At 44.8% G+C, this 12,917-nt stretch overlaps 1 protein-coding gene across 4 annotated transcripts in view, besides 3 other annotated features; it reads left to right on the top strand.

The window, feature by feature from the left end:
• Positions 1–12,917, top strand: part of PIK3AP1 (phosphoinositide-3-kinase adaptor protein 1) — a 127,200-nt gene that overhangs the window by 39,492 nt on the left and 74,791 nt on the right. The window lies entirely within an intron of this gene.
• Positions 1,987–2,246: an enhancer, noted in NCBI's record as "active region_3834". NCBI's record gives its function as "activates an Ori minimal core promoter by ATAC-STARR-seq in GM12878 lymphoblastoid cells {active_cell/tissue: GM12878}" and the evidence as "EXISTENCE:reporter gene assay evidence [ECO:0000049][PMID:35858748]".
• Positions 7,002–7,071: an enhancer, noted in NCBI's record as "active region_3833". NCBI's record gives its function as "activates an Ori minimal core promoter by ATAC-STARR-seq in GM12878 lymphoblastoid cells {active_cell/tissue: GM12878}" and the evidence as "EXISTENCE:reporter gene assay evidence [ECO:0000049][PMID:35858748]".
• Positions 7,202–7,271: an enhancer, noted in NCBI's record as "active region_3832". NCBI's record gives its function as "activates an Ori minimal core promoter by ATAC-STARR-seq in GM12878 lymphoblastoid cells {active_cell/tissue: GM12878}" and the evidence as "EXISTENCE:reporter gene assay evidence [ECO:0000049][PMID:35858748]".

Here is a 12,917-nt window from a genome sequence, read left to right as displayed (position 1 = left end):
TCTATGGTGTTTTGTTATGGCAGCCCTAGCAAATGAATACAGATTTATTGATGGATAACACTCGTAGGTGACTGGGTAGATTTTACACTGAGTGACTGAAGCATTATTCAACATTGTCTTGATCTAGTTCAATATGATAATCCTGAGTTCTGCTTTTAGGTCCATAAATGCAATTGAACTAGTGCAGCACAGCAGAAATCCAACATGGCATCAACATGTGAAAGTGAATTGCAGGATTTATAGTTGACTACCTGTTAAAAAGCAATCAATAGTATGAATACCAAAGACGTAGACTCAACCTAAATGCCCACTAATGGTAGACTGGATAAAGAAAATGTGGTACATATACACTGTGGAATATTATGCAGCCATAAAAAAGAATGAGATCATGTCCTTTGCAGGAACATGGATGGAGCTGGTGGCCATTATCCTTAGCAAACTAACAGAGGAACAGAAAACCAAATACTACATGTTTTCACTTACAACTGAGAACTAAATGATGAGAACACATGGATACATAGAGGGGAGAAACAGACACCAGGGCATTCCTGAGGGTGGAGGGTGGGAGGAGGGAGAGGATCAGAAAAAATAACTATTGGATACTAGGCTTAGTACCTGGATGACAAAATAATCTGTACAACAAACCCTCATGACATCCATTTACTTATATAACAAACCTGCACATGTACCCCTGAACTTAAAAGTTAAAAAAAAAAAATCAATAGTATGATGTGGCCGCTAAAAGCTACCACAGTATTAAGCTACCTTAATAAGAGAATGGCTCCTTTGTCCTAGAATAATTTCAGTATGTTCTACCAAGAATGGTGTTCCATTCTGGGTGCCACCTTTTTAGAAGGAAACTGGCTGACTAGAATATGTCCAGAGAAGAACAACCAAGAAGCTTGGAACCATTTATGCACCATTTTTTGGAAAGGGCTGAGGCTGTGTTCTGAGTTGCAAGGTAAGGGAGATCTCTATTTGAGGTGGAGGTTGCTGAGAGGAAGGAAGGGTGGACATGATAGTGGGAGTCCCATCACTCTTTCCACCCTGGGTGATTACAAGGTTGGGGATTGCATGGCACTCCCCTGGGGACAGTGACTGGTCATGTGAACTAAGTTGGAGCAGTCAGAATGAAGGGAAGAGTTTCTGTTCCATGCTCGTGGGAATATTTTTCTCTTTTCCTCTGGACCTTGTTGTGAAGTGAACCTGTGGCTACCACAGCCGTCTTGCCACCAGCTTGAGAATTTGTGCTGAAGATGGTAGAATAGAGAAATGGGAAGAACCTGGGACCTTGGTGCTGTGGCTGAACACTTACCAACCCCAAACCTGCCTGAATGCTGGGCTTTGGATTCCAGGAGATAAATGTCCTTAATGTTTAAGGCATTTTGAGTTGGGATTTCTCTTGCTTGCAGCAGAACTATCTTAACAGATTCTGCAAGGTTGGACTAAAGATAAGGATGAGCTTTCACAGATATTAATAATTTTTTTTTTTTTTGAGACGGAGTCTTGCTCTGTCGCCCAGGCTGGAGTGCAGCAGCGAGATCTCGGCTTACTGCAACTTCCGCCTCCCAGGTCCAAGAGATTCTCCTGCCTCAGCCTCCTGAGTAGCTGGGACTATAAGCACCCACCACCACACCTGGCTAATTTTTGTATTTTTAGTAGAGGCGGGGTTTCACCATGTTGGCCAGGCTGGTCTCAAACTCTTGACCTCAAAAGATCCAGCCACCTTGGCCTCCCAAAGTGCTGGGATTTTAGACAGGAGCCACTGCACCCAGCCCAGATATTAATAATTCAAAATGCACATCAGTGGAGTAGACTCAAGAAGGGAGCTCTTGTCTCTGTAATATTCAAGTAGAGGTTGACCATGATAAAAAAAAATCCTTGAGTGTAATTTGCACTAAATGATTCTTCAGGTTCTTTCAAATTCTGATCATCTAAGATTCAAAAATAATTCTTACTAAAGTGTGACTGTCTGTGAAGCTGAACCTTCCCCAGAGCATTTGCATCATCCTCAGTGTGATAACTCAGATGAAGCTTTTATTAGTTGAATGTGGAGGTGGGGGAGGTTTTTGTGTATGAGAACCTTCCAGGTGCTCCTTGCCTACTTGGTATTAGTGGGTCGCTCTCCTCTTCCCCTACAGGGGTCTGTGTCTCTACTTTTGGAAGGTTGTTGAACCTGAACAAAGAGGAAATAAACTATATTGTGACTGCAGGGTTGGCAAAACACTACATACAAAGGACTACAATATCATGAAAAGGAAAAGTGAAAAGGAGGAAGGTGTTGAGGCAGTGGGCACAGAGGCTCAGAGGAGTGGTGGAGAGGTGGGTCATAGGTTGCAAGATCCCAAGGAAGGAATTTTCTACCTGTTTTAACCCATGCTCCCTTTTGACTCACACCCTCCTTCTATAGTGCATTTATTAAAATAATAGTTTAAAATTTTAATTATAGTATAGGCCAGGTACAGTGGTTCAAGCCTATAATCCCAGCACATTGGGAGATCAAGGTGGGAGGATCCATGGAGCCCAGGAGTTCGAGACCAACCTGGGAAACATGGATAAACCCTGCCTTTACAAAAAAAATTTTTTTTGAGACAGGATCTCACTCTGTCACCCAGGCTGGAGTGCAGTGGTGTGATCTCGACTCATTGCAACCTCCGCCTCCTGGGTTCAAGCGATTCTCTTGCCTCAGCCTCCCTAGTAGCTGGAACTACAGGTGTGTGCCACCACGCCTAGCTAATTTTTTGTATTTTTAGTAGAGACGGGGTTTCATCATGTTGGCCAGGCTGGTCTCGAACTCCTGACCTCAGATGATCTGCCCACTTCGGCCTCCCAAAGTGCTGGGATTACAGGCATGAACCACTGTGCCCAGCCTACAATTTTTTTTAATTTAAATTAGCTGGATGTGGTGGCATATGCCTGTAGTCCTAACTACTCGGGAGGCTGAGGTAGGAGGATCATTTGAGCCCAGGAGGTCGAGGCTGCAGTGAGCCATGATCACACCACTACACTCCAGTTTTGGCAATAGAGCAAGCAAGACTTTGTCTCTAAAAATAAATAAATAAATAAAATTGTAATATAATATTGGCTATGCTTCTAAAAGCTACACAATTTCTCTATTCTAATTCATCATTCTGGCAAGACCTTTGCAAAAACTCTCACCTCCCTCTGAGGTGATGAGAACCCCTGGGACAGATTCTTCTTGATCCTGATCCCAATGTTGATTAGGTTTCCAGTGGTTTCTATAACTGTACCTAAATGAACAGTGAAAACCATGTTTTGTCCTCACGCTTGTGATTCTAAACCGGAAAGTGTGTTGTCTCACTTCATATCTTGTATTGCACGTGACCAAACTGTGTTTGTTGGAGATAAATGTTTACAGAAGGTCAAAGGCCTTTTGTGTGTGTGTGTGTGTGTGTGTGTGTGTGTGTGTGTGTGTGTGTGTGTATGTGCTTAGTGAGGAGGTAGTTAGCAAGGCCAGTGGACTTAAAGAGCATCGGGGCAGGACAGACCCTCAGAAATCACATAGTTATTTTCCACTCTGTCTTAATACAGAGGAAGACAACTGGACTCTGCCAGGGGAAGTGGCTCACCCAAGGCCAAGTGGTGAATGGTGGGTTTTTGAACAGTTGACCTCGGGATATGAGTGTGAGAACGCCCAAGTTTTACTTCAGGGTATCATTTCTTAAAGAATTTGGATTTGCAAAGAAACCAAACATGATTGGTTTTTCAATTGGTGGGAAGGATAAATGCAAACAAGAGGCAAAAGAAGGTGTTGTGTTGAGGCTAGTTACTGAGTTTGCCAATACTTTTATGTGTCACGGGGGCAGAAGATGGCTGAATCGGTGTTTCTCCCTGATGATGGCAGTTCCCCCTCTCAAACACTGGGCATGTCTGGCATCAGGTGGGCTCAGCCCTTCCTCACTCTGGCTTGGAGGACCAGTGGAGAAAAACAAACCGTGTTCAGAGATGGGCTCGGTGCTCCTGCTGGAGGCTGTGTGAAGAGTGGGCGGCCTGTTCTCCTGCCCTGAGGCTTTCCCTCCACCCCAGCATGACCCCCTCTTTCCTCAGATGGAAAGGCCTAGTTTGGCTTGGTTGGGAGGGTTCAGTCCGTCCTTGAGTCTGTGCCCTATGCTGTCCAATCTCAGGTTGACACCGGCAGCTCAAGGGTTAGATTCCAGCTCAATACGGAAACTTAAAACTCCCTAGAAAAGAAGTCCCTGTGGAATGGAGATGATTATTCTGGAAGATACAACTTGACCAGCTTTGTAAGCTGTTAATTATTAAACAAAATCAATGTTTTTAAGTTTAATTTGGACTCTTTCAGTTGGAATAACTCAAGGTCATTCTTTCAAAAAAAAAAAAAAAAAACCCCAGAAAATCCCCGTGTGTGTTTTTGGTGACCTTCTTGGAAAAGGGAGTTGGAAAAAAGGCCTCTAAGGCAACAGTGAAAGAGGTAAGAGCCTGGCTTCCATGTGTCTGGAGTTCCTTATGTCTGGATTCTTGGTCATTTCTGTCACTAAGACCTGAGGATCAGCAAGGCTGGGAGAGGCCCGAGCTGGCTCAGTTGGGGCCATGAAATCTGTAATGACCTCGGGTCATAGCCAGCCCAACAAGGGGACACTCTGTGACTCTGGTAAGATGTAGGGGCCACCGGCCAGCAGTAGCCAGCAATGACCACTATCAGTTGGCCAAAGTCAAAAAAAAAAAAAAAAAAGCAAGGTCACACAGATAAAGACAAGCAAAGAGTCCTGAGATAGGTGCTTACAATGGATACAGCATAGCAGAGTCTTGTCTCTCAGAGCCTGAGGATGATCCTGTTCTTGGGGTGAAAGTTCCTGAGAATGCTTGCTTTCAGACACAGATGTGGCTTCACAGCTGGCATGGGACAGGCTGAGGACACTGCCAGTGAACCACGGCAAACAGAAGACAGGAGAGGAGTTGTGGTTGTAGGTAGATTCTGGCACAATGCAACCCACCCTGGCAACCCCTCATGGAAAGAGCCAAACTGGGAAAGTCCCTCTGACCTTTCATTTGTAGGCAAACTGGTTTGGTTGTTTGAATTGTGATACTGCCAAACTATGGTTTTAGGCCATGTCCCACGTCCCTATGATGGCCTTATACAATTCTAATACGAGTATGCAACAGTGGGGGCTGTTCTTAGGTCCTAACTGCTAATAGAAGTACTTTGTGAATAATAAATTATTATTATTGTTATTAATATTAACAGAGAAATGACAGCTTCCTTTTATTGAGCACTTACTATGTGGCAGACACAGTGTTCAACAATAACAGTCCTGAGAGGTAGGAATTATAATCTCTATTTTATAAATAAGGAAAATGAGGCTTTAGGAGATCAAGTAACTTGCCCAAGATAGCCATCCAGTAATAGCAGGGACTCAATTCATTTACATGGACCCTAAACTCCATGCTTTGAAGCACTGCCATGTATGTGGTGGCCATGAGAATATGCCTGGCAGATCTCCAGTTGCTGGGAGTAGAACCGACCAAGGGCTCCTGTGCCACCCTCTGAATCCATCATAGCTTTCGACCAAGGCCCTGCTTCCTGCAGGCTGCTCCCAGTCAATAACTGAGCATGGCAGGGATACTAGGCCCATTTCCGGAAGACGCAAGATTTGCCAGTGGCCAACTTCTGTTTGAAGACTCCGTGACAGATTTGCACAACTTTCCTTAGCCTGCTCAGTGGTCTAGGACGCTTCCACCCAACCTTCCTTCCCCCTCTTATTCATTTGGGCTCAGACAGCTACAAGGTTTTCCCACCCTCCCTCCCCATTTTCCTTCCCAGGCACTTTCCCTGACAAAATCCTTATATGGCCGGGTGCAGTGGCTCACACCTGTAATCCTAGCGCTTTGGGTGGCTGAGGCAGGCAGATCACCTGAGGTCAGGGGTTCAAGGCCAGCCTGGTCAACATGGTGAAAACCCATCTCTGCTAAAAATACAACAATTAGCTGGGCGTGGTGACACATGCCTGTAATCCCATCTACTCAGGAGGCTGTGGCAGGAGAATTGCTTGAACCCAGGAGGTGGAGGTTGCAGTGAACCGTGATTGCAGAACTGCATTCCAGCCTGGGCGACAGAGTGAGACTCCGTCTCAAAAAACAAAACAAAACAAAACACCTTGTATGTTTAATCTCATTTTAGCTTTTGTTTCTCGGAAGACTGGGACTAACACAGTGTACCATGCAGAATTTTCAGCGAAGCTTGGTTCACGCTGGTATCATAAATTAGAGGGTTAAACAGTTTCCTGTTTCTCTCCAGATTCCACACTAAAAGCCTCCAGGCACAAAGCCTTACAGTGGTCCTCCCTGAGGTGTTGCTTTCCCTGCTAGTAACTTAGGTGGTTGGTCTTATCTCATTCATCGATTCATCCATTCATGCAAGAAGTATTTATTGATTTCTCACTATATTCTAAGCCCTGGGGATACAAAGATGAATGAATGTCAGGAAATCTGTTCTCAGAGAAATCACAGTCTAGTAGAAGAAAAATTTGGTCAACAGATAAACAACACTAATTGATTTAACTTTGTCTTGCACTTTTCAGTTTTCAAAGGGCTTCTGCATGTTGATCACTTAATTCCAATAAGCCTGTGCAACAAACCAGGCAGGCATAAATAAATCCATCTTAAAGGAGAGGAAATTGAAGCTTAGAAATATCAAGATTACCCAGGAAGTGGCAGAGATGGGACTTGAATCCAGGTCTTCTGTGGCTTAGCTGAATGTGCTTTTCCAGAATCTGTTAGTAATTGCGTTTGTGCTGCTAGGAAATACTGTAGAATATCTTTAGAGTCTTGGCCTTAATAGCCCTGATTTTAATATTGGACCACTAAGGCCAGCAACTCCTGGGTTAAAGGAGTTTTAATTTTGGCCTATATTTATGCAGAATTTGGAATGCCATCTTGTTTCATATTTCTTTAAGCCCTTCGCCAAGAAGCATCACACCCCCACCTCCACCCAGCCTTGACCAAGCCACAAAGCCAGATGCAGCCTTTCACGGTGAGGGATGAGAACAGAAAGTTACCCTTCCTGAAAGTGGAAAGTGAAACTGACCAGCCAGTTCCATCCTTTCAGCTGGTCGGAATGCGAAGGGTCAGCCTAAGTGGGGGAAAGTAAACACCGTTTCAGCCTTTCCTGGGACTTTGACCATTGAGTGGGAGACAGACAAAAGGGAAGAAATTTTACTCTCAATTTCTTCAGCTTAGTTATTGTCAAGAGTTGCCTTCAGCCTCTCAGTTCTTGACTTAGTGAAAATAAATCACATTTATGTGGCCTGCCCCAGACAAAGCCCATTTGTCCGTCCTCACACCAGTAAATCCAGACATCAGTGTCTGTCTAGATAAGAACTGATTCCTGAACCAGGAAACCAAGAAGAGCCTGTGAAAAGGTGAGTTATTAATGGCCTCATGACAAGCCTGCGTTGTGCCATTTGGACGAAATTTACATAGGGAGAGGAAGCACATTTATAAGTGTCTGAAAGAGATGAAGAAAGAGGAAGCCTTTCGGGGGGGGCTGTGGTAGCTCCTGCTTTGTTAGCAACACTGGGGTTTCCTGAACGAGGAAACAGGGGCCTGCAGGCCTCCAGACCTGGGTGCCTAGAGGGGAGCACTTTCTCACAGGTGTGGAGATGGGATACAGGTTGGATAGTGCTCCCTAAGGATCCTGATAAACCCCGCCAAGGAAGCTTACCTGTGCTCTTCTGGTTGCCTGTGCATGGTAGATGCAGCCCGAGACGCTGAATCCAGGATAGAGGTGGGTTTTTGTGCAGCCCATTTACCATGGTGGGGAAGTAGATTTTCCTCCAACCCTTCCCAGGTTTATATCCCAGAGACTGGTTGAGGGAATGTCAGTCTGTGGCTGAGATGCAGCTCACCTAGCAGAATCTTTTCCCCTTTTGGGTCATGTTTTCTGAGAGTGGCTGTTCCTTCTGTTCTTCTGCTAACCAGATCTGGAGTTGGGAGCTTTGAATTCTGCATGTGGTTCTACCATTAAACCAGAAGCTTATGAACTAGGGCCGGTCAGTTCATGGCCCATGCCTCTATTTTTCCATCTGCAAAATGGAGATAGTCATCTCTGTCACATGTGCCTGGAGACACTGAAAGGAGCAAAGGAGAACAAATCAAAAAGTTCAGAGGCACTGGGCGCTGAGACAACTCCAGCTGACCCTTGGCTTCTTGGTTGAGGATAGAGCAGCTCTATTTGGGAAAGCTTCCTGAAGGTTGAACTTGGAAGAAAGTTAGAGGGCCCCAGCCCCAGCTGGGAGAGGACTGGGAGAGCCGCAGGCAGGTTTTATCATTGGTGGACAAGAGTGGGCACCACGGTGCTTTCATTGGTTGTCATGGCAGCCTCAGATGTTTTGCTATTTTTGCTCAAGCTGAAGAGCAGGTAGGGTGGGTTGGGGAGGGGAAGGGAAAAGCTATAGGCCTTTGCTTTAAAAAAAGCAGCAACAAGAAATGAACACTTTGAATAGCTCATTTAGAGCTAATAGTTCATTTATTTAAGGGAGTGGGGAGTGCTGGATAAAAGTCTTAGAGGCCTAAGGTCATCTTTCCTCCTGTCCTGCTCCCTTGATCTTGAACCTCAAGTACATTGAGGAGGGCCAGGTGAATTACCTGATGAATGAAGGAAATACTGTTCCTTGTCTGTGTGAGCTAGAAAAGATTTGGGCTGATGTCAGTAGATCCTTGACCCAGAACCCTCCACCCAGCGCTGCAAATTCACCGATGTGCAGTGAAATCAGGCAGCCTTAGGAGTCTGCGTCTGGCACAGAACACTGGGATGGCAAAACGATTGCATATGATGAGTGAGCCCACCTGCATTCCAAAGTTACCAGCTCCAACCACCTCTGGAAGCCAGCATGGGAGTGTGGAAGAAGTGGATTCATTCCTCCTTCTTCGTTTCTACAACTTTCTCTTTGTTTCCAGGGAGACAGTGTGACCACCATGACTGTATTTTTTTTTCTTTGTTTTTTGAGACAGGGTGTCACTTTGTTTCCCAGGCTGGAGTGCAGTGGCACAATCATGGGCCACTGCAGCTTTGATCTCCTTGGGCTCAGGTGAGCCTCCCACTTCAACCTCCCAAGTAGCTGGGACTACAGGCGTGCACCATGCCTGACTAAATTTTGTATTTTTTGTAGAGACAGAGTTTTGCCATGTTGCCCAGGCTGGTCTCGAACTCCTGGCCTCAAGTGATCTGCTTGCCTTGGCCTCCCAAAGTGCTGAGATTACAGGTGTGAGTAATCATGCCTGGCCATGACTGTATTTAAAGTCTGAATTAGGAAAGTATCTGTAGGACTCTGCCTTATCTTTTTGGCATCATGAGGATGATGATGATGATGACGACGGTGATGAGAACAATGATTGATGTCACTTTAATTAACTCACACTAACACTTCTAAATAATTGTCACCTCCTCCCTCCCCTGACTTCAGTGTCAGTAAGACATCTGGTGGGTAAGAACTTGGCATTCCACTGACCCTCTTACCATCAGTATGATGACTGTATGTGACTTTGGGGGTAGCTGGTGACTTGTGGGTTGGGTATACCTGTCACTCTCTGTTGGGAGCTTTGTAAGTGAAAGGGGTTAGTTGGACGGGAAATTCACTACCCAATGACCAAGGTGGGTGAGCAAAGAAGAAAGACCCATGGTGATGACTAAAATGAAAAAGCAGTCTTGATGTTTGCCAGGAAGGTGGGGGAAGGTGAGGGTTATTGAAACTTAAGGTTTGAGTCCCACCATTGCAAGCCTCTCACCTCCAACCCTGTGAACCCACAAATATTTTCAGTAGAGCAAAGGCTCCTTCACTGGGGTCCACACACTGGGAATCTGGACACAAGGCCAGGTCTGAGGTTTCCTTTTGTGCTTTCTAAGGACATGACAATAGCTGTGATGCTGAATTTCTGAGGAAATAGCCAGTGTAAACAAGATAAATGCAGTGTAAACAAGAGACATGTTTATAGCCTACTTCAGAATCATTTTCTAAGCATACTGTAAACCATGCTTGTGGTACCTTTTCAGACATTGGTTAATTATAGCAACTTATTTGTTCTTGAAAGCAGATAGGGCAGGATGTTGACTTGGTAACACTTTGTTAGCCACTCGTTTGTGTTATTTTATGCATCTGGAGGCAGCGCTTGCTCGGGGTGGGATGGGTGGTCAGGCACTCGTGTTCTCAGTTATGACCAGACTTTACAAAAGAGCTGATACATTCTGCCTGAATGTCTGGAATTATTTCAAAAACAAGCAAAGACAGTTTTCAACTTAAGAAAAATAAACTGCATTTTCAATCTGTATTTTACAGAATTTCCTTTTCTCCTGAATACATTTTGCTGACAGGTCTCCAATATACACCCTGCATGGGAATCAGGGTCCTCTCAGACACCCAAACTCCCTTCCCCTCTCACACAGCCCTTCCCCCATATAGAAGGTGTTTCTTGTGGCCCAGACACATCATTTGCGCTCATGCCTTTGTGCCTTTAATCATGCTTTTCCTCTGCCAGAAAAGTCCTCCCAGCTCTCCTGTGTGGTCTCTCCAGTACCAGTGAGGACAGAAATTTTCTCACTCTTCCATTTCTTGGGGAGCCTGGGATAGGCTTTGAATATTTATTATTCATTGATAAATAATGAGTATTTATTTGTTGAAGGGATAAGGAAATGAACAATGAATTATTTTATTACTTTAAATAGAAAATATCATGCCTTTTTCACAGAAGGGTAAGTTCAACATCCCAGTGCTATTTGACCGAGGGGAGCTTGCCTTCTTCATCTCTTAGGAAGTTTTTCTCAACTTCTGAATTTTTCATGTGCAAGCACTTTTCTGTCTCTCTCTCTCTCTCTTTTTTTTTTTTTTTTTTTGATGGAGTCTTGCTTAGTCACCCAGGCTGGAGTCAGTGGCGCAACCTCCACCTCCCAGGTTCAAGTTATTCTCCTGCCTCAGCTTCCCGAGTAGCTGGGACTACAGGCGCGTGCCACCACGCCCGGCTAATTTTTGTATTTTTAGTAGAGACGGGATTTTACCATATTGGCCAGGCTGGTCTCGAACTCCTGACCTTAGGATCCGCCCACCTCGGCCTCCCAAAGTGCTGGGATTACAGGCATGAGCTACCGCACCTGGTCCCACTTTTCTAAACACTTAGAAACATTAACTTAATTTAGTTCTATTTATAGTCTCATCGTACAAGTTGGTGCCTGGTGATAAGGTATCACATAATTCTCTCTGGTTTTTTTTTTGTTTGTTTTTTGTGTTTTTTTGAGACAGGGTCTTGCTCTGTCACCCAGGCTGGAGTGCAATGGTGCGATCTCAGCTCACTGCAGCCTCCGTCTCCTGATTAGCTGGGACCACAAGCACACACCACCACACCCAGCTAATTTTTTGTATTTTTGGTAGAGACAGCGTCTCATAATGCTGCCCAGGCTGGTCTCAAACTCCTGAGCTCAAGCAATCCTCCCGACTCGGCTTCCCAAAGCACTTGGATTACAGGTATGAGCCACCGCGCCCGGCCTCCCTGTTTTTTCATGTGGGGCCTCATCTTCCCAATTCATTGGAAGCTCCTTAAGGGACACAGCTGTACAGGACACACTTCTGGAATTCTCCTGTGGGATCCAGGCCAGTGCTAGAACGTGGCAGATGTGTTCCGTAGACACTTGCTATGTGACTAGGAAACTTCGTAGTAAGCTCAGGTTTTGGAACATTTTATTCGGGGCTTTGAAAAATAGCTGTTTCGTGGTTTCATCACTGTGGCTTAGGTAGGATGAATGAACATCGTAACAGCTGAGAAATTTCATCCTGAGTGGACAAGCCTCTGGAAGTTTCTCCAGACCTTGGGTAACTCTATATTCCTGCCCCATTTGTGTGGTGGTTAAATTTTATTTTATTTTTGAGATGGAGTCTCATTCTGTCACCCAGGCTGGAGTGCAGTGGTTCTATGTCAGCTCACTGCAGCCTCCGCTTCCCGAGTTCAAGCAATTCTCCTGTCTCAGCCTCCTGAGTAGCTGGGATTACAGGCGTGTGCCACCACGCCTGGCAAATTTTTGTATATTTTTAGTAGAGATGGGGTTTCACCATGTTGGCCAGGCTAGTCTCAAACTCCTGACCTCAAGTGATCTGCCTGTCTTGGTCTCCCAAAGTGCTGGGATTACAGGTGTGAGCCACTGCGCCTGGCCCCGTGTGGTGGTTAAATCTGAGTCCTCAACTTAAAATACAAATGCAGAGGAAACACAGCCCTTTCTTCTGTGAACCCCAATACTTAGGTTGCTCATCTGCATCCTTCTAAGAAATCTTTGAATCTTCTTCAGTCTTTTTTTCATCAGCCACACTGGAAGTCTTGGACATGAACCACGATACCCCCCTACTTTGTCCCAGCACAGAGACACACAGGTTCCCCTGACTGGCCCCAGTGACTGTTTCTGTTTAATTCCATTTTTGAGTAGATTGGTGGCAAGCTCTTAATTCTCAGTTGAAACTTATCTCCTTAGTTTCCTTCTCTGCTCACTTTCTTTTTCCTTGTATCTAAAACTTAGAGAAAGAATCCAGCATGTTTATGCTACAGGCCTTCATCCTGCCTTCCCACCTTGACTTTACCTTATTTAAACTAAAAAATAATTAGTTTAACAAAATGGAAGCAAAATAGCATAATGCAGCATTTCCCAAACTTCAGTCATTTGAGAACCACCAACCTCGTTTTTGGCTTATGTTTGTACCATAGTGCTACTATTTTCTTAAATTCATGTACCATACAATTCATGCATTTTAAGTGTACAACTCAGCAGTTTTTGGTGTATGCGGTTAATTTTTAAAAATTGTGGTAAAATGTAGGTAACAGAGTATTTGTCATTTTAACCAATTTAAAGTATACAATTCATTGGCATTAATTACTTTCACAATGTTGCGCAGCCATCACCACTC

This window comes from Homo sapiens, chromosome 10 (assembly GCF_000001405.40).
Source record: "Homo sapiens chromosome 10, GRCh38.p14 Primary Assembly".
NCBI classification, from domain to species: Eukaryota; Metazoa; Chordata; class Mammalia; order Primates; family Hominidae; genus Homo; species Homo sapiens.
The sequence above is the reverse complement of the archived record's forward strand: the minus strand, read 5'-3'. Positions and strand labels throughout refer to the sequence as shown.